Below are 22327 nucleotides of genomic sequence, written 5' to 3' on the forward strand. Positions count from 1 at the left end.
TTTACCATGCATTCCACATCTTCCTGGCACATAGCATGTGTTAGATATTTGGTGAATGAATTAAAGAATGACATATTTTCTGTATGAATCTGAAAAAATATAATTGTATCCTAATTTATGTTAGTCAATTCCACATGATTCACCTGTGTAACTGATTAAATCATGTTAGCTTGATTTTTTCGGTCCCTCAGTTTTGGGACTGAAAATTGGACATTTTAAATATGGTGATGTGGAAATTTTGGAAGTCAGAATGTCCCCCCCCTTTTCTGGGTTTGCTATATTTCTTGTTGTGGCCTTCAGTTGTCTGGTTTTTTAATGACTTGCCAAATGAAGAGACTCTATTCCTTGTCTCCTGTGGTCACTGATGTCTCCATTGTGTTGTATCATTGCCCAGCCAGTGATCTGATGGAGATGTCCTCAAATGGCTGGAGCTGCAAATAAAACAAAACCAAAACCAAAAAACAAACAAAAACTCCTGTGCTTACGTTACTTCATTGCTCATCCAGGCCACCTATAACCCCAACCTTAGCCTCACCTTCTGCATATGCGTAGCTCAAAGATCAGCCAGAGGTATAAATCTAGGGTTCTTTCAAGTTGTTTTCTGAGCATGTGCCCAGCCTTCAGCATATGCATGGTCTTCCAGATTTCCCATTATACATGGGAGCCCCCAACACTCTCATTCCTTCATATATTTTCCTCCTCAGCCTCTTCTTTCCCAGGCTTTTCAGTTTGTATGTTGCTAACCCTGGCCATCATCCCTTGCCCCAGGTGACCCTGGTTAGTGGATGTCTTTAAATGCTTTTGACAAGCACTGCCTGGGATGCCGCTCTAGCTCTGAGAGAGTTCTGAAGGGGTGGTCTCTGAGCTGATTCCTCAGCTCAGGTCACAATGCACAATCACAATTTTTTGAGGACAGGTTCTTATTGACCCCTTTAGCATCACTGCACCAGGAGCACTGACTGCCATCCCCAGTGCTGCCTCTGAGCTGTGAAACGCTTTCTCTGCATCTGTTGTGATTATGTGTTCTTCCCCTGTTCTTTAATCTCTTAATGTAATCTATTGATAGATTTCCAGTGCTGAACTAAGCATGCATTCTGGGGTTCAAAATCTTGATCTCCACATTTTGTTCTTTTTAATATATTGTTGGATTTCATTTTAGGATTTATCTCTGATCATAAGGGAGACTGACTTACTGTTTTCTTCCTTGGTATTTGTGTGTACATTTGTGCTATCCTTTTATTTATGATATGTTGGTTTTTAGAATGAGTTGTGAAATTTTCTGGGATGGTGTAAAAATCTGTTATTGACTGTGGAAGAACTCTTTTCTCCAGAGCCATTTGGGTCTGGTTCCCTTTAAAAAAGTTATCTTTTCAATTTCCTGTATTATTATTGATTTATTTAGTTTTATAAGATGAAAAGTCAATTACGATCATTTAAATTTTCCTAGAAAAATTATTCTTTATGTTCAGATTTCCACATTGATATAGAGTTAAGCAATGCCACAGCTTCTTTTTGTTGTTGTTGTTGTTGTTTTTGTTTTGAGACGGACTCTCGCTCTATCGCCCAGGCTGGAGTGTTGTAGTGGTGTGATCTCAGCTCACTGCCACCTCCACCTCTTGGGTTCAAGCGATTCTTCAGCCTCAGCCTCTCAAGTAGCTGGGATTACAGGCACATGCTACCACACCCAGCTGATTTTTGTATTTTTAGTAGAGACGGGGTTTTGCCACGTTGGCCAGGCTGGTCTGGAACTCCTGACCTCAGGTGATCTGCCCGCCTCGGCCTCCCAAAGTGCTAGGATTACAGGCGTGAGCCACTGCACCTGGCCGACAGCTTCTTGAGTGTGTGTGTTGAAGGTAAATTTTTTGAGATTGAGACTCCTGAGTCTGAAGGAAATTTTAATTTTCACAACTTGATTGGTGGTTTTGTTGGGTCCAGAATTTTAGATTTGAGTTTATTTTTGTAAGATTTTTGGCGGTATTGTTGTGTTTTCTGGCATCCAGATCTGCTCTTGAGAAGTTTGAGGACATTCTGATTCCTAATCATTTTTTATGTGACCTTTTTTCATTCTAGAAGTTTTTAACAACATTTTCTCCTCTTTGTTTGACATTTCATCCCTTAAACTCAGCCATTTAGAAGGCTTCATGGCTAGGCCAGGAGGTGGAGGTTGTAGTGAGCCGAGATCGCACCACTGCACTCCAGCCTGGGCAACAGGGAAACTCTTTGTCTCACCAAAAAAAAAAAAAAAAAAAAGGGTCTAGGTTCCTGGGAAAAGAAATGAGTGTCAGTTCCTATAGATTTTAAGTCATGATGGGAACATCCAGTAGGCTGAGCTCAGCTCACTTGCCTCTTCTCGGCTACCCAAGTTTATAGAGCAAGCCTTTATAACTTCCATAATAGGAGGGGTCCTATCTCATATCAAGCAGGAATTCTATTATGATTGATTTTTAAACCCTGAATGATGAAAGTTTGTTGAAAGACAAACAAATGACCAATGAGGACTACACTTCATAAACAAAATAAAAACTTCATTTTAGGGAGAACCTCTCCTGGGGCCCGTGTAACATAGGAGATTTTTAAAACAGTGACTACAAATTATTTCTAAAGCAACATGGTGTAGGAACTCTTTCTGAAAATTTGGCTTGGCTATTCAGAACTTACTAGTTATGCTGTAAGGCTCATATGTTCACTTCGAAAGTTATTGGACATTACCTGATTTGTAGTTAATATTTAAATAAAGGATCTGGATTTCCTCATCTATAAAATAAGGAATTTTGACTATTAGTGATTTGGACTAGGAACATATTATACATGAGTGTGATATTGAGGAAAAAGAAGGTTGAGAACCTTTGGAATACAAAGGTCAGCAAACTTTTTCTGTAAAGGGTCAGATAGTAAATATTTTAGGCTTTGCAGGGCAGATGAGTTTTGTTGGAAGTGCTGAACTCCGCCGTTTACCTTGAAAGCAGCCATAGACAATATATGCCTGAATTGGAATAGCTGTGTTCCATTAAAAGCTTATTTACATACACGGGTGGTAGCTAAATTTGGGCAGAAACAGGTGGCAGGCCCTACTTGGCCCATGGGCTTTGGTTTGCTGACCCTTAGATTAGATAATTGCTAGAACCCTATCACAAGCTAATAGTCTATGTGGTATCTTATCCAAGTCGAGGATTCTGGAAAAGAAGAAGAAATAGAATGGTAAGTAAAAGTTTGTGTTAACTGTAGATGTCTGATTGCTGCATGATAGAGAATTGTAGAAATCTAGTAGATATCTTCAGTCTTGAAGGAAAATTGATCCCCCTATTAAAATAGAATGTCTTGTACAATGTTTAGGCCTTAGAAGGAGATTTTCCAGGTAAGGAGGTCATTGACCTCTTTCGTTTTGCTCAGTTAATATTTTACCCCTTGGCTTTCATGGATGTGCTGTTCTTCCTTTAAAGTTCTGGACTAATGGGGACACATTTTTTCTTCTTGGTTCTGTTTAATATGACTGCTATGAACTGGAACTTTAAAAAGTATTTGTATTCTAAAGGAAAACAGAGGGAAATGACTCAGAATATATTAAGAATATAAACAGGCTGTACAGGGTTCTTGTGTTAGCTTGCCCTGTAAGATTTTGAGTCATTATTTCACTTAGCATGATGTCTTCAAGATTCATCAGTGTCGTAGCATGTGTCAGAACTTCCTTTTTAAGGCTAAATAATATTCCATTATATATCTATACTATTTTTTTTTAAACCATATATCCTTCAATAGACACTTGAGTTGCTTCCACCTTTTGGTTATTGTAAATAATACTAATAGGAGCTTGAGTATATTAATGTGTCTTCAAGTGCCTGCTTTCAGTTCTTTTGAGTGTATACCCAGAAATGGAATTGCCACGCCAGTCCTTGGATTTAGGGGCCAGTCTTAATCCAGAATGACTTCATTTTAACTAATTACATCTGCATAGATTCTATTTCTAAATAAGGCCACATTCTGAGGTTCTGGTGGACATGCCCTTTTGGGGGATGCTGTGGTATGATAAAAAATGAATATTTTTTTCTGCCCAGGTTCCCTCGGCAGAACTTTGGAAACCCTTTGAATTTACTATCTTTTCTACACTAATGAGATGGCTTATAGCGGGGGTGGGGGCCCTAGATAGCTTTGGGGTGGGGGCTTGTCAGAAAAACTAACCCCATGTTAAGAGGGTTAGAACGTTCAGGCTCAACCCCCAGCCTCCCTCGAGGGGAGGGGCTGGAGATTGGTGGTAATCACCATTAGTCAGTGATTTAATCATCAGGTTTAGGGAGCTTCTGAGTTGGTGAGCACCTCCTCGTGCTGGGAGGGTGGTGCACCCTGACCCTTCAGACTGGCCCTGTGTACCTCTTCATCTGGCTCTTCATTTGTATCCTTTATAATAAACTGTAACAGTAAGTACGGTGTTTTCCTGAGTCCTGTGAATTGTTATAGTAATAGCAATGGGGGGAGGTGTGATAACCCCAGAATTTGTAGACTTCAGCCAGGGAGAAGTGTGAGTAGCCTGGGCACCTCATTGCAGTTGGCATCTGAAGTGGGGCAGCCTTGTGAAACTGAGCCCTTAACCTGTGGGGCCTGCCCGAACTCCAGATGATTAGTATTAGGATTGAATGGAGTTGTTGGTATTGCAGTATGATTGTGCAATTTGGTACAGTCAGCAAGTCAAACTTTTAAAAAATATTGCAAAAGATGGCTGAGTGAAGTGTAATAATACACATGCAGCATTTTAAAAACCAAACTTATTAACTTCTACCCCACCCTCAAATAAACCAGCACGTATATCCATCAATCCACAACTAATCCAGATTCAAAATACTGATGTTTTCATTGACTTCTCCTTCCTTGTTCTATTCAGTTAGTCAACATGCCTTGGAATTTCTAAATTGACAGTTTCTGGTTCATGCATTTGTCTTATTCTCCCTTCTGTTTCTTCACCGTGATGCTAACCACATTTTTTTTTCTTAATGGTTGGTTTGTAGTTACTTTGTTTTACCATTGTTTATGTTTTATCGATTAATTAGTTCTTGCTTCTTGCTACTAGATTACCTTTCCTAAACTGAGGCTGTGTTGCATATGAAGTATAGATTTCTTACGTTGCTTTTCTAGTAATGCCCCAAATCTTTACCACCTTTTCTTTCTGACTACTTCTCTCTATGAGTGTGCTTTCAACTCACCTGAACTCCTTGCTGTGCTCTAGGCTTGTGGAACTCAGCCTCTGTGCTGTTATTTCCCTGGAATGCCCATCTACTTGACAAAAATGTAGTTATTCTCAGCCTTCATCTCAGTTATTACCTAGTGTGTCAAACCAAACTTGATTTTCCCCAGCCCTCATCACATTGTGTATATTTTTTGGAATCTTTACTCAAATTTAAGTCATTCATTAATTTAAGTTCATTTGCTTTTTTGCTGATAAATTTACATAATATGAAACTTAATACTTCATTAAAAATTTTATATATTGTCCTCTTTTAATAATTTTATTTGTCCTCACATTATATGTTCACATGTGTGCACAGATAAACATTGGTGGTGATGTTCTTCTCCTAGTTTTACAATTGTTTTTATCAGAGAAATTTGGGATGATTGTAATATCTTTGTGCTTTTAGGTATTGCAATAATATTTCATAATGATCATGTATTAGTTTGGTATAGATAATCAAGCTATTACTCTAATAAATGAGTTTTTTAAAAGTTTAAGGAAGAATAAAGAAGACCATAAATCCATAATTAATTCTGTGTGAACAGATAACTACCATTGTAGCAGTTTGGCTTATATCCTGGGCACACGTGTACACGTATGTTTTACATACACAGTGGCCATACCATATTGTATGATATTGGAGAATTCCCCCCCATTATATTATTGGGGATATTTTTTCATGTCAGGAAACAGTTTGACTTTAAAATTCTTATTGCTGCCTAATATGTAACTACATGACTGTACTTTTATTTGACCTCTCTGCTCTGGCTTTTTTTTGTTGGGCATTTGGTTTATTTCTACTTTTTCCTATTAATAAAACACTTCTTGATGAACATCCTTGTACATATTACCTTTGTTCACTAAATGATGAACAGTATTTATCAAAATCTTGGGAGTCCCCGAGACTATGTCAGAGTGTCTGTGAAGTCAGACTATTTTCATAACGGTATTAAGGCTGTTTGCCTTTTTTTTTTTTTTTTTTTTTTTTTACTGTGCTGACATTTGCATCAATGTTGCAAAAGTAATGGTGGGTACATTCTCTGGTGTTTTAACATGAATTAAGGCAGTGACAATTATTTATTTTATTAAATCTTGATCCTAAAGTGCATTTAAAAAATCTTTGTGACAAGTAGGGAGCATATGCATAAAGGACTTCTGTTTCGTACTGAAGTATAACAGTTGTCTTCAGGAAAAGTACCTGTCCAGCTGGCATGGTAGTGTGCACCTGTGTTCTCAGCTACTTGGAGGCTGAGGCGGGAAGCTCACTTGAACCCAAGAGTTCAGTCCAGTCTGGGTAACATTGCAAGACCCCGTCTCTTAAAAAATAAAAATAAAAAAAGGTACTTGTTCAATTTAATTGTGAGCTGAGCTAGCTTTTCTTATTTCTTCTGTAGAACATCATTTTTACTTGAAAGGACAATTGACAGACTGTGGTTATTCAGATTTTAGTGCTTGGCGGATACATTCTTGAAAATGAAGTGAGCCTGTCACTTCAAGTAAAACAGTGGACATTATTTGTTGCCAATGATAATATGTAAGTTTTCAAACAAAAATGAGAATTTTGAAATACTTATATTTGATATTGTGAGCTTGAAAACTTCCCAGCACTTGAGGACTTTCCTGGTGAGATTGGTGATGTTGTTAACCAGTGTGATTTTGTATATTGGATAATGAAATGTGTTAGCATTTGGAGTACTACATAAATCAGGGCACCAATATTTTCAAAATGACCACTGCATGGTGGCACAAAATCATGGTTAAAGATCCAATAACAGTACAAGACACGCTTGGACTTTAACATAACAGGTATGAAATATTAATTGCTGTGGCTTCAGATTCTGCATTGCAGCCAGTCTTTAAGAAGTGGCCACTTTTTGATTATTAGTGTAGTATCGAAGAATATCTAAAATTGTTTGAAAAGACAAAGTACTTCTTTTTACAACTACGTATTTATTTGGAGTCAGATTTCTTTCATGTGTTTCAGTCAAAAAACATATCGAGTGAGACTCCATCTCAGGAAAAAAAAAATATGTGTATGTATATATCTCACAAGAGATTGAATGCAGAAGCAGATAGAAGAATTCAGCTGTTTTCTACAAAGTCAGACATTAAAGAGTTTTGGAAAACTAAAAAATATTTGTTTTATAGACTTTTTGTCATTAAAATATGTTGCATTAACATGTAATACTGATTTGTTTCTTAAGTTTGACTATTCTTTTTAAAATTATAGTCAGCCCAGTTTGTACCAGCTGACCCTTACCTCATTTCCTGTCTTCTTTACCCTCCTGCTCTAGTCTTTTCCAATAAAGGCCTTAAGTTACATACCATATATTAGTTTATTGGGATTACTGTTTGTCTTTTCTTACTAGAATGTAACCTACACAGGGTGAAGGTTTTTTTTTTTTTGTCTTGTATGTCAGTTGTCTAGAACAGTGCCTGGCATATATTATGTGGTCAAGAAATAGTTGTCGAGTGAAGGATACAGGTTTCATGACTCTTCATTTGTATTCATATTTTTTGCTTATCTTGCATTCTCTGATTTTGGAATGATTTCAACAGCCACTTTCCTTAGTATTTTATGGCGTCTCTCCTTTGGGAAAATACTTTAATTATTTTTGATGATCCTGGCCTCTAATTTTGGCTTTTGTAGATTTAACTCTGAAATTTCCGGAAAGTGCTACGTAGCACGATGGCAGTTAAATTTCCTTCCGGAGTGCCCGCGCTGATGCACAGTGTGAGATGAACACAGGGATTCCTAACCCTAGCTGTCCATCAGAATTAGTGGGAACTTTAAAAAGCAAAAAGAGCCCACTGAATCAAAAATCAGTGAGGAGGCCAAGGATTATATGCTTGTTAACAAGGTTATAATACTTGTTATTAGCTAGCCTGGCAAAAAGATGTTCTGGTTTCAGCAGAATTAGATGCTCTTTTTTTTCGTTTTTTCTTATTTTGGTCTCACTGTTTTGTCCAGGCTGGAGTGCAGTGGCCATGCACAGGCATGAGCATGGCACACTACAGCTTCAAATTTCTGACCTCAAGCAATCCTCGCTTCTCAGGCTCCCAAGTAGCTAGGGCAACAGGCTCCAGCCACTGCACCCAGTGGATGCTCTAATTAATTAGCAATGTCTGCCATGGATGATTGTGATTAAGTACTAATTTCTTCGCTGTGTCTTAATGAGAAAAAAGTCACAAGCTAAATTTTTAGCTTATAAAATATTGGGATTTTGCTTCTGTTTTCATAGATAGGGAATGCTCCTTGTTTTCATGAAGCATGACTTTTGATGTTTTAAAATTCATTAAGAACTATTTTTTGGCCTAACGTGTATCAGGGACAGTGCATCCTCTACATTTAAAAATAATGTATATTTTGCACTTGTTGGTCCAAGTACCCTGTATTGGCTGTTAGGTCTAGTTGATTTATAGTATTTGAGTCCTCTATATCCTTATTAATCTTTTACCTGGATTTCATATTTGTTGAAAGTGGGGTGTTGAATTCTCTAAGTATTAATGTAGATCAGTCTCTTTCTCCCTTCATTTTTGTCAACATTTGCTACATCAATTTTGGTGTTCTGTTTCAGTGCATATATGTTTATAATTGTTATATCTTGATGAATTGACCCTTTGATCGGTATACAGTATTCCTTCTTTTTGAAACAATTTTGGATTTAAAAATATTTTATCTGATATTAGTGTAACTTTGCCAGCTGCCTTTTGGTTACTATTTGCGTGAAATATCTTTTTCCATCCTTTCACTTTCAATTTATTAGTGTCTTTGGGTCTAAAGTGAGTCTCTAATAGGCAGCATATAGTTGGATTTTTTTTTTTTTTTTTTTTTGAGACGGAGTGTCTCTCTGTCGCCCAGGCTGGAGTGCAGTGGCGTGATCTTGGCCCACTGCAACCTCTGGCCCACTGCAACCTCCGCGGGGTTCAAGTGATTCTCCTGCCTCAGTCTCCTGAGTAGCTGGGATAACAGGCGCTCGCCACCAAGCCTGGCTAGTTTTTGTATTTTTAGTAGAGACGGGGTTTCACCATCTTGGTCAGGTTGGTCTCAAACTCCTGACCTCATGATCCACCCGCCTCGGCCTCCCAAAGTGCTGGGATTATAGGCGTGAGCCACCGCGCCCGGCTGCTTGTTTGTTTTTAATCCTCTCTGCCAGTCTGTGATGTGACAGAAGGTAGTCAAGTGGGAAATGCCAGATGCCAGTCCTTCCAGTGGAACAACTATTGACCTGGCAAGAACTGTTGGAAGCAACCGTTTTGGAACTTGAGAACCTAACATTGGTTTTCATCACTGATGGGCTGGTACAGAGGCTCTCTCTGTTATTTTCATCCCCCTCTGCTGAAGCAGTTTCTCCTCAGCTTTGTTCATTTTTCCTTTTTATTGGATGCAGGCATTTAAGGAAATCTACCAGGTCGCTGGTTGATTAGGGAGATAACAGTAGACAGACTTCAGTGACCACACTTAAGGAATATAATAAATAGTAGTTTTAAAAAGCCATTAAACAAATGGACAGCAACCTTCATTGTGTAACAGCAGCAACTCTGGGGAAGGAGAATCTGGTTTCTAGAGTTACTACATTGCAATGTACAGAATATCCAGTTTTAAATAGTAAATAGTAAATAAAATACTACATTGTATAGAAAGAAGCCTGAAAGTATGGCCCATTCATAGTAGAAAAAGAAATAGAAACCACAAGGATACCCAGACATTGGATTTACTAGACAGATGCTTTAACCTTCTTAAATATGCTTAACGTGCTTTAGGAAACTATGAACCAAAAAGCTAAAGGAAATCTGGAGAATGATATATGAAGAAGTAGAGAATATTAATAAAGAAATTATTAGAAGGAAACAACTTCTGGAACTCAAAAGTACAGTAGCTAAAGTAAACTCTTTAGAGGGGATCAGTAGCAGATTTGAGCAAGCAGAAGAATCAGCAAACTTGAAGGTCAATTGAGATGATCCCATTGGAAGAGCAGAACGACAAAACAATGCATAAAAATGAACAGAGTCTAAAGGACCTACGGGACACCACCAAGTGTACTTATATACACATAGGAGACCCACGAGAGCAAGAAATTGACAGAAAAAAAATCTGAGGAAATAATGGCTGAAAATTGCCAAATTCATATACAAATATATAGCTAAAAGATAGGAATCTATACATCCAAGTACACCACACACTGGATATATTAAAACAACAGAAATTTATTCACAGGTCAGGAGACCGGAAGTCCATATTAATGTACCAGCAGGGCCACACTCCCTGTGAAGCCTCTAGGGGAGAATCCTTTGCCTCTTCCAGCTTTTGTTGGCTTCCTGCATTCCTTGGCTTATGGCAGCATAACTCAAGTCTTTGGCTTCACATGACCTTTCTCCTCTGTATGTGTCTGTTTGTCCCCAAATCTCCCTCTCCTTATGTAGACATCAGTCGTCATTGAATTTAGTGCCCTCTTTAATATCCAGTGTGATCTCATCCGAACTTGATTATATCTGTAAATAGCTTTTTCAGTTTTAGAGACAGGGGCTTGCTCTTTTGCCCAGGCTAGACTACAGTGAGTCAGTCATAGCTGACTGACTACACCCTCTGCCTCCTGGGCTCAAGCAGTCCTCCCACTGCAACCTCCTGAATGGCTGAGACTACAGGTGTGCACCACCACACCCAGCTAAGTTTTAAAGTTTTTTGTAGAGGTAGGATCTGGATATATTGCCCAGGCTGGTCTTGAACTCCTGGCCTCAAGCGACTACCTTGGCCTCCCAAAGTGTTGAGATTACAGGCATGAGTCACTATGCTCGGCCTTGTTTCTAAATAAAATCACATTCACAGGTGGCAGAAGGAGGGGTAAGACTTCAGCATATATTTTTTGGGGATACAATTCAACCAGTTATAAGCAGTTCTGCCAGCAACAGATTTCTTCCTGTTCTGTTCATCTGTGAATGTCTTTATGAAAGATCATGTTGGTGGATTTGGGACTCTTTGAGCACTTTGAATAGGTCATCTTACTGCCTCTGGCTGCTTCTGTTTTGATGAGAATCAACTATTGCACTTCCATTGTAGGTGATGAGTCATTTTTGTCTTGGTGCTTTCAAGGTTTTTTCTGTGTCTTTGGCTTCGAAACATTTTGACTACGTTGTGTGTGTTTGTAAATCGTTGAGTTTATTATCATTTGAGTTTGTTGAGCCTTCTGGATGTATAGATAAATATTTTCCAGTACCTTTTGGAAGTTGTCAGCCATTATTTCTTTGAGTATTTTTTCCTTCTCCTGTCTGTCCTCTCCTTCTGGTGCTCCCATTACACGTATATTGTTGTGCCTCCTGATGGCCCCACATTTCTTTGAGGCTGTGTTCAGTTTTCATTTTCTGATTTCTGTTCTTTGGATTATGTCATCTCTGTTATCTGTTTTCAAGTTTACTAAGTCTGCTAGTTCACATCTACTACTGAGCCCCTCTAATGAACTCATTTTAGTTATTTTTCAATTTCAGAATTTCTATTTGGTTTTTAAAAATAATTTCTGTGTGTGTGTGTGGTGTGTGTGTGTGTGTGTGTGTGTGTGTGTGTGTATATATATATATATATTTTTTTTTTTTTGAGACAGAGTCTCACTCTTGCCAGGCTGGAATGCAGTGGTGCAATGTCTGCTCACTGCAATCTCTGCCTCCCTGGTTCAAGCCATTCTCCTGCCTCAACCTCCCGAGTAGCTGGGATTACAGGCATGCATTACCACACCCACCTAATTTTTGTATTTTTAGTAGAGACAGGTTTCACCATGTTGGCCAGCATGGTCTCATGATCCCCCTGCCTTGGCCTCCTGAAGTGGTTTTTTTTTTTTCTTTCTTTTTTTTTCTTTTTTTTCCCAGACAGAGTCTTGCTCTGTGGCCCAGGCTGGAGTGCAGTGGTGTGGTCTCGGCTCCCTGCAACCTCTGCCTCCTGGGTTCAAGCAATTCTCTTGGCTCAGCCTCCCGAGTAGCCGGGATTACAGGTGTGTGCCATCACATCTGGCTAATTTTTGTATTTTTAGTAGAGACGGAGTTTCGCCATGTTGGCCAGGCTGGTCTCGAACTCCTGACCTCAAGTGATCCACCTGCCTTGGCCTCCCAAAGTGCTGGGATTACAGGTGTGAGCCACTGCACCTGGCCTGTTTATTCATATTCTTTATTTGACCTGACACTGTCATCATATTTTCTTTCGGTTTTTTGATCATGGTTTCATTTAATTCTTTGAACATATTTATAATGGCTACTTACAGATCTTTTTCTATGAAATCTGACGCCTGATCCTCTCACATGCAGTTTATGTTGCCTGCTTTTTGTTGTCGTTGGATTATAGGTTATATATCTTCTTGTTTCTTCCATATCTTGTAATTTTTTGTTGAAGTCTGGACATTTTAGATAATATGTTGTAGCAACTCTGGGTGCTGGTCTCCCTGTTCTCCCACCCCTGGGCTAATTACTGTTATTTGCTTCTTCACTCCTTTGTTGACTGGCTGGGTTATTTTAATGAAGTGTTCACCCCTCCGCCGAAGCTTCTGATGTTGCTCCGCAGTGACCACAGCCTTGGGCATGCCCAAGGATTACCCTGGGATGGTTGTCATGGCTTTGATTGTCTCTCTCTGAGCACACCTTCCGTAATGCTCTGGGGCATAAATTGCTTTATAAATTGAGCCCATCACATTCAGGCTCCTTTGAATGGATACTGTCCATGGTTCGTGTTTGAGATTTGTTCTGACCCAAGCAGGGGCCCTCCTCACCTGTCTGTGTCCCCATTTCTCTCCAGCACAGCAGCTCATCTACATTCTGGCCATATTTCCAGCTGCTTTTACCACTCTCTTCCCAGTTAGCTCTCACCAGAACTCTCCCTCACTGTTTTTGGGAGCACTCTTTGGCTTGAAGTCAGTTTCTTTGGAGAGTTTTGGAGCACTCTTGTTCTAAATGTCTGCTTCCTCACCCCGCCCCCCCCGCTCTGAGCCACAGCATTTGTGCTGTGGCTGTGGACAGTGGTGTACCAGTCTCTGGGTGATACCCTTGCCTTAGGAGCTGAGTGCCTGGGAACTGGGGGAAAGCAGCAGCCCCAGGTCTCCTCAATTTGACTTTCTTGGTGTGGGACCCCCAGCCCTTGACCCAGGGCAGGGGTTCTCTGGTTCCAGCAGTGTCTGTTCCATGAGTGGGACCTGAGTGGAAGAAAGGAGCCCACATGTCTCAGTAACAGTCACCCAGAATTCAGCCTCAACAATGGGTAGGTGGGGGTGGGATGGAAAATGCGGACGAGGTCCTTGTCCTCCAGCTGGGAGCTGAGTGGGGAGGGCGTCCTGTGTTCTTGGCTGCACTGGTCTGGAGTGGAGTCTTAGCATTACTGAGTTTCAAGGATGAAGAGGGGTGGGTCCTGGTTTAAAACCCATTAATTCTTGCTGCCATTCTTGCCAGATTTTTGGTAGATTTCTGGAATAAGTGTCTTTTCATTTGTTGTATGTCCTTAGAATTATTCTTAGAGACTTTAAGTAGTTATTTTATAAAACAGTTTTCACCAGGCTCACAGGGAGAGGACCCATGGAGCTCCTCATTCTGTCATATTGGAAGTGGAACTTCCTGAGGCTATTAATTCTTTAATGTCTTTAATTCTTGGATTTTCTTTTCTTTCTTTCTTTTTTTTTTTTAAAGCACTTGTTCTGTTTGGTAATTGTATTAGGCCATTCTCACAGGGCTATAAAGAAATACTGGAGACTGGGTAATTCATAAAGAAGAGAGGCTTAATTGGCTCATGGTTCTGTAGGCTGTACAAGTGTGGTGTCAGCGCCTGCTCAGTTTCTGGGGAGGCCTCAGGGAGCTTTTACTCATGGTGGAAGGCCAAGCAGGAACAGGCACTTACCTTACATGGCAAAAGAAGGAGCAAGAGGGTGAGCAGAGGCGGGGAGGGGTGCCACACTTTACAACAACCAGATATCCAGAGAGCTCACTGGCTATGGTGAGGGCAGCACCAAGCCATGCCGGATCTGCCCCGGGACCCCAACGCCTCCCACCAGGCCCCACCTCCAACACTGGGTATTACAATTCAACATGAGATTTGCAGGGATGTATATTCAAACTGTATCAGTAGTGTTTGGTAAGAGTATATATATTACTTTGGTAGAACTTGATTGATTTCCAGCTCCAGGCTCGGAAAATTCCTGAGGCTTTATAGGTGTTTATATCATCTGGCCCTACCTACCCCAACCACCTGCCCCTAGGTAGACTCTTTCTGGGGAGAGAGATCTATGCTCTGCTGTCTCTCAGATTTCTTTGCTTGTATGTATGTCTGAGATGAAAACCTTTAATTTCAATTCTTTGTTTACTAGGAATAAAGATAACTTTGTCAGGTGCCACCCATTTGTCAGTTCTTGTATTTTAAAATACGTTGTCAAATTTAGTGTTCCAGCAAATTTATGAAGTAGATAATAGCTTCATTTTTACAGAAAAAGAAACAGGCCTCTAAAGGGCTCTGCTCTTAATTGCCCTTTCTTCACTGTCCATTTCAGTAGCTACTTGCCACACATGGCACCAAGCACTTGGAATGTGGCTTGTTCACATTGAGATGAGAGATGTGCTGTGTGTGCAAAATAAGCAGTTAGTATGGAAAAAATGTAAAATATGCTGTTAATATTTCCTGTATTGAGTACACATTATGACTTATATATATATATGTGTGTGTGTGTGTATATACATTTTTTTTTTTGAGACAGAGTTTCTGTCACTCAGGCTGAGTGCAGTGGCGCGATCTCCGCTCACTGCAGTTTTGCCTCCCGGTTCAAGCGATTCTCCTGCCTCAGCCTCCCAAGTAGCTGGGATAGCTGGGACTACGGACGTGCACCTCCGTGCCTGGCTGATTTTTTTTTTTTTGTATTTTTTTAGTAGAGGTGGGGCTTTGCTATGTTGGCCGAGCTGGTCTCAAACGCCTGACCTCAAGCTGATCCATCCGCTTCGGCCTCCCAAAGTGCTGGGATTACAGGCATGAGCCACCGCGCCCAGCCATACATACTGTGATAATATTTTGGATATAGTATGTTAAATAAAATATATTGTTAAAATATCGTCTGTTGAAGTTTCACCTATTTCTCTTTACCTTTTATAAATGTGGCTACTAGAAAACCTAGAATTAGGTGTGTGCTTATATTTCCGTTGCTCAGCACATCTCTGCATTATCTCTATTTTGCTTAAATGGAATCTTAGCTTTCCATGATTTGGAAAAGTGTGACGATTACAAAAAGTATTATGAAAGTCTCTAACTTTTTAGCATGTCACATTTTTTTTCTTTCATGCAGTAAAAAAACACTCAAAACCCATTTTATAAAGAAAACACTTTAATAACATTTGAGGTTTTTTTTTTTGAAAACCTGTTAGTGATTTTTCATGCCCAATAATGTTCAATAAGTTGGTTTTCTTGGATAGCTTTGTGTTTTTAAAGATGTTTCATTATTAAAAATGGCTAAAGTAAAATGATAGTTACATATGAAACTTTTGTAATTTAAAATGTCAAGTCAGGAATCCTTAAAAAAGTTGTTTTAGTGTTTGAATTATTTGCATTGTGTCTATTTTAACTTAGTAAAACTGACTTCAATGGACTGTTCTCATAGATGATGACTTTGACCAGTTTGATAAGCCTGGCGCGGAACGGTCGTGGAGAAGAAGAGCTGCTGATGAGGACTGGGACAGGTACGTGCACCCTGTGCTTCACCTAACTGCCTGTGCCGATCTCTCTCATTCTGACACTTGGCTCCTGAGGGATCTTTACTGAACGCAGCACCTTGACTACCTGGCGCTCTCTCTTGAGTGGGGCTGTCCCTCCTGAGCTAAAGTGAAGCTTCTCCATGCAGAAGGCTGAGGTGTGCTCCTGTTCCAGGCCTGTGTTGTGTGGAGGGCTGCCAATAGATCATAGGTCTTCTGTCCTTTTTCTTTGTTTTTGTACAGTAATGATACTGACTTTGTGGACACCCAGAACCATTACTGGAGTGGCCTTGTGCCAGAGTTCTTTAAGCTCTACTTTGTACTGAATATCTGGCTACACTTTAACGTTTTTTCCATTCTAATATGTGTAGATGGTATTTCACTAATTTTAACTTTCATTTTCCTGGTTACCAGTGAAGATGAAAATACCTGTTTAGGAATGGATGAAAATGACCTGTTTAGGAATACACACAAACACAATTTAAAAATCCACAGTGATGATAGATGGTAGTTTGATATAGTGGTTACCTCTGGCAAGGAGTTAATAATAGAGGTTAGAGATGTGTTCTGGGAGAAATACACAGTGGGGCTTAATCTGGGTGGTGGGGCTGAGAAATGATGGTTATTCTTTATAACTTTTTTAACACCTTAAATACTGTGTTGAGAAAATGTAACAATTACTTTGAAGCTGCAGTCAATTTGAAAACGGCAGTGTCACATCTGGAAGTTTTATAGAATAATCTAACTTGAGAACTATGAGGCCCTTACAGTTCACATAAAGCTGATTGCTCTTTAGTGACTCATGCAGTGTATTAGTCAGGATTCTCCAGAGGAGCAGAACCAAAAGAATATATGTAGAAAGATTCATTATGAAGGACTGGCTCACGTGATTATGGAGACTGAGAAGTTACACGGTCTGTAGAATGGTGTAGTTCCAGTCTGAGCCCAGTGTTCTGTGAACCAGGGGAGCCAGTCATGGAAGTCCCTATCTGAGCCTGGAGGCCTGAGAACCAGGAGCACCCATGTCTGAGGGCAGAAGATAGCTCAGCTCAAGAAGAGGGTGAATTTGCCCAACTCCAACTTTTTGGGTAATGTCTGCCCACATTGGTGAGGATGGATTTCTTTACTCAGTCTGTGGACTCATTGCTAATCAGCTCTGGAAGCACCCTCATGGACTTTCACAGAAATAATATTTTGTTAGGTAGCTGGGCATCTCTTATCCCAGTCAAGCTGTCGCACAAAATCAGCCAGTATGCATTCTAAAAGTTAGATAGTGCTTAAAAACGATGTCTTTCCTAGAAAAGAAATGGTCTTACTAGTAAGTACTAAAGCTAGTTTTGATTAAAAGACTGTGATGGTGAGCTGAATAAAATATTAAGTGGGTCTTTCAATAGCTTACTCATTATTTGGAGTTCCTCTTTGAATGGTCTGTTCATATCTGTTTTTTCTTTTGGGTTGTTTGTCTTTTGTTTATTGATTTTAGGGACTGTTTATATTATACTTACTGGAAATTTATTTTTATTGTTTATAAGTATCTCCTCCCAGTCTGTGGCATGTGTTTCCTTAAAAAATAGTCTTTGACTAGATTTTTGAGAAGAATACAGTCAGATGTATAATCTTTTTTCTGTGTAGTTTTTATTCTTTTTTTATTAAAACATGAACAAAAATGTATTTGGAAACCCTTTCAGACTTCCAAGAAAGTTGCAAGAATAATACAGAAACTCCCACTTGACCTTCTCTTACACTCATGAACTGCTTTTTGTCAACTTATGTTGTCATTCTAATTGTTTACGTACATGGATATACTGTATATGTAAAATTTTCTTTCCTGTACCATTTGACAGTAGGTTGCAGGTGTCATGCCACTTCCGAATGCTTCAGTATTGTTTAGCATGTATTTCCCGCAAAACAGGAACTTTCACTTATATAAATATTGTATAATTTTTAAAGTCAGGAAGTTTATCAGACATCCAGTTCTATATATGTGAGGTTTATTGTTGTTGTTTTGGAGACAGGGTGTTTCTCTGTCACGCAGGTGGAGTGTAGTGGCGTGATCATAGCAAGCAGGAACTCCTGGGCTCAAGTGATGCTCCTGCCTTGGCCTCCCAGAGTGCTGGGATTGGCGTGAGCTAGTGTGCCGTGCCCAGTTGTATTTTTATTCTACAGTGGTTATTCAGATTGTTTTCAGTTGTCTCAATAATTTCCTTTATACCCCCAAAAGAATTTTTTGTTCTGATTCAAGATTCAATTCAGGATCATACATTGCATTTTTCTTTCATCATTTCTTAATGTGGAAGAATTCTGTAGCCTGTCTTTTATGACGTTGACAGGCCATTTATCTTGGGTTTGCTGGTGGTCCATTGTGACTAAATGCGGGCTGTGCATTGTGGTCAGAGTAGATGATGTGTGGCCTCCTGAGTGCCCACTTCAGGAGGCACAGGAAATTGGTTTGTGCTTTTTGTCCTTAAGAAATTCTTCCCTTCCTTGTATTCTAGATATCTCCTGCATGTGTCTATGAAAGTTGTAATTTTTTTAAATAGCTATACAGTCTGCCTGAAATTGATTGAATTGATTGATTTTTAGTTACTAACAAGTTCAAGCATATGTGAAAATAGACTAGTACAGTGAACCCAATGTACCATCTTCCAGTTTCACCAGTTATCAGCATATAGCCAATCTCTTATCCATACTCTCTGCAGCCCCCTCAAATCACAAAATTTTTGAAAAAATTTCAGAATATATTTTTCTAAAAAATAAACGGTTTAAAATATAGCCACAATAGTTACTATATCTAAAAAAATTCCTTATTACGTAAATATCTTAGTGTTTACATTTCCGATTGTCTCTTATATTTGTGTGTGTGTCTATGTATACGTATGTAGACGCATATATATCTACATACATATGTATACACACATATTTTAAATATATGTATTAGTATACTGTCACTTACACAGTGTGGATATGTGTCTGTGTGCTTTTTGATGGTTTGAATTGGGCGCACATGGTCATTGATGGGTATGTCTTTCAAGTGTTGTTTCATGTACAGGTTCTCCCCCATCTTATTTTAGTTCCATGCAATTTTTGTTGAAGAAGCAAGGTAGCGTGTCTTCTAGAATTTTTCCTTTTGCTGATTGCACTCCCTGAGGTGTTTTTAGTGTGCCCCTTAGCTGCTGATATTTTATGTGAGTTAATAGAAGTGGATGGGATTCAGGTTTGAACTTGGGGGAGGGGCCGGGGTGTGGCAGTGTAGTAAGTATTGCTGTGTTCCTCATCGGAAGCTCCTTGGGGGCTGGTGAACTTTGCGTGGTGATACCTCTGCTTTTCCTGTTACCTGTAGTACTAGTACACTAATATACTACCTAATAGTACTGTAAACTAGTTCGTTCTTGAGGTAGAGATTACATAGAAAAGACAGGGTAAGTGATTGAGTCTTTCCTGTTGTTTACCAAGTTTCAAACTAAGAAGTCAGCCCTAGCACTTGCAGGGATGAGTTTTGTTTTTGAATCATTTTGAAATCATAGATTTAAATGTTGGTTGTGTTGAATCCATTGTCGTTTCGTATCTTTATTGGTGGTTACATTGCCTGATATTTGTTCAACTGGAATTTCTTCAGGTTGGCTCCTGTGTCCATTTGACATGACTTTAGATGTCTTTGGCAGCTGTCTTGCTTTCTGCTATGATGGAACTTGTTTTGGTCATGGTGTGAGACGGTTCTAGGTTTTATTGTTTACCGTATTATGAATTGCAGTTGTTTCATATTGTTTGTGAACGAGCTCTTTTTTTTACTGTCTTCAGTGACGTGTTTGCATCTATGAAGCTTTTGCCACATGTATTTCTTTTTTGATGTTTTAAGCATAAGACAGCCTCTCTGTGTGCTGCATGACACAGAGAGAGACACTTGGAAGGTGAGAAGAGTGGGTCAGGAATTACTATGGTAAGTTCTTCTGCCATGCTGTACTGGTAGTGGTGTTTGGAAGAATATGATGTCATTGCTGAACCAACACCTGAAATTGTGTTTTATTTATTTTTTTTAAAGATATGAATGTCTCATGTGTCCAGGCAAGAAAGAGATACCCACTCAAAAAGTTTTTGTTTGTTTTTGTTTTTGTTTTTTTGAGACAGAGTCTGCTCTGGAGTGCAGTGGTGCGATATCAGCTCACTGCAACCTCTACCTCCCAGGTTCAAGCGATTCTCATGCCTCAGTCTCCCGAGTAGCCGGGATTACAGGCATGTGCCACCGTGCCTGGCTAATATTTATATTTTTAGTAGAGAAGGGGTTTCGCCGTGTTGGCCAGGCTGGTCTTGAACTCCTGGTCTCAGGTGATCCAACCACCTCAGCTTCCCAAAGTGTTGAGATTACGGTGTGAATCATCATGCCTGGCCCAAAAAGTTTTAACTGAAGAAATTTAATGACGGGTCTATTTACAGGCCAGGGTTAAAGAACTAATGAGTTCATTCCCATCCAGGGAGTACCAGTTCCTGCCCCGGCCTTGTGGGAAGTGGTGTCCTAGGGCCCAGTGAAGGCTGTTGGGGGAGGGATACTGTAGTCTCTATTTCTTCAGGTGAGAGGGGAGGGGCCGGTCTTTCTCCTCCTACTTGGTGACGTTATGTTGGTGCGTCCCAATGGGCGAATCCATCTGGAAGCCAGAGGTTAGGACCGGCTGTGCCAGCTGCTCCTGGAGGACGCAATCCAGCCACAGAGCAGGCAGGTAAGACGGAGAGTGGACTAGAGTGGGGAGGACCCAGAGACTACAGCCCCACTTACAGTGGTCAAGTTCACTTCTGGTTTTGAAAGGCTGTAGCCAAGTGGCTGACAACAAATACTTGTTTCCTGAAAAACGTCTTTGAGGATAACTTCTGTTTCTAAGTAAAAATATACTTGCTTTCAAAGAGCTCATTGTCTGTAAGCTTTAATAAGAAATGCCTGCCAGAAAGATTGTTCGTACTCAAGTAGTGATTACTGGTGGAATCTTTAGGGAACTCTAGAATTGAACACAGGAAGCCTCTTCATCAGCCCAGTGCTTGTTTGATTTCCTAGAACACTTACTGCTGCTGCCAGCCAGAGTGACTGCTCACCCCTTTGAAACTGCCAGATGGAGACCAGTCATTTCCATTAGTTCATTGTTGTTTTTGCCAAGAGTGGATGTAGTTTTACATATGTAATAAATTTATTCCTTATGTGTACATCCTTTGTGAGGGTCCAGCTTTACGATGACAAGAAGAAAAGTACATGTAGTTTCTGTGGGGTGTGTGCATAGTAGTTAGGACTTGGATTCTCTCACTGGTGTCACCACTTCCTAGCTGGATGACCTTGGGCAAATTAGCATCTTAGTGTCTCTGTTTTCACATTTTGAAAATGGCAACGGTGTGTCTACCTGAGAGGGGTATTATGTCAATGAAAAGCTCGTGTGTGTGGAACATGTCAAGTGGTGCCTGGCACAGAAGTGCATTGAGCGGATGCTGTGGATCGCTGGGGCTGCTGTTTATACTTGCTGTTGTTCTGTACTGAATCCCACTGTCCCCCATCCTGTTTCTCATTAGTCATGAAACAAGTACTAGTCTTCATTTTCTCTACTCATTTTATAGTTGATACACTTACTTATCTTTTTAAAAATGTTTTCGTTGAGAAAAAATAAGTAGTTATTAAAGGTTGATTTATTTCCATGTACTTGTCAGCAAGAGGCACAGATACTTTCTAGATTTTTGCTTGTATAATTACTAATGCCTGTTTTTATGACTTTGTCAGTTTGCCCTGGGAAACTGGCATCACATTCCATTTTTAGTTACTTAAGGTGATGGTATAGACGAGTGCCTGTCTTTAAAAGAGGTGCTTGTGTGTTTTTGGTTATCTGGAATCAAATTTTCAAATGGGGTTATTGTAAATATTGTTGACTAGACAGCATTGTTTTCTCCCTGCCTCTGGAGGGTAGTTGGAACACTGAAGATACAAAAATTGTATTTGATAGATGATAGTGGTTTTAAAATGTTGGAAGAAGCTATATGTTATTCTCTTATAACTATCCTATAGGAGTTTGTGAAAGATTGTTTTTCAAGGGCTGTTAAGTTCTTGTCCTGCATCTGTCACTGCTGTGTGACTTTAGGCAAGTTATTTCATGTCCTATCCTTGTTTTCTTTATCTGTAAAATGTAATATAGGACTTACTGGAGGATAACTTAAAATAACGAATAAAGTCTTTAGTGCATGAATTAAATGATTTGTCAGGTTGTTTTTAGTTCTAAAAGGCGTTATATAGAAACATGCATTTCATTATAACTCCATATATGCATTCCCGGAGATTATAGTATTCTGCAAAGTGGCATGCTAAAAATAAACATGATTTTTTGGTAAAATAATGGTTTTGCTGATTTCTCAATACCTATAGAATTTTGTAACCAGAGCACCTATTAAAAA

General features: G+C 39.6%; 1 protein-coding gene across 1 annotated transcript in view; it reads left to right on the forward strand.

Annotated features, from left to right (window-relative positions):
- RBM33 (RNA binding motif protein 33) overlaps window positions 1-22327 on the forward strand; it is a 136820-nt gene that overhangs the window by 4692 nt on the left and 109801 nt on the right. The window contains exon 2 of the mRNA NM_053043.3: window positions 15823-15901. Coding sequence (NP_444271.2) covers window positions 15823-15901 — 79 coding nt within the window. The remainder of the gene's footprint in view (window positions 1-15822; window positions 15902-22327) is intronic.

This window comes from Homo sapiens, chromosome 7, assembly GCF_000001405.40.
Source record: "Homo sapiens chromosome 7, GRCh38.p14 Primary Assembly".
NCBI lineage: Eukaryota > Metazoa > Chordata > Mammalia > Primates > Hominidae > Homo > Homo sapiens.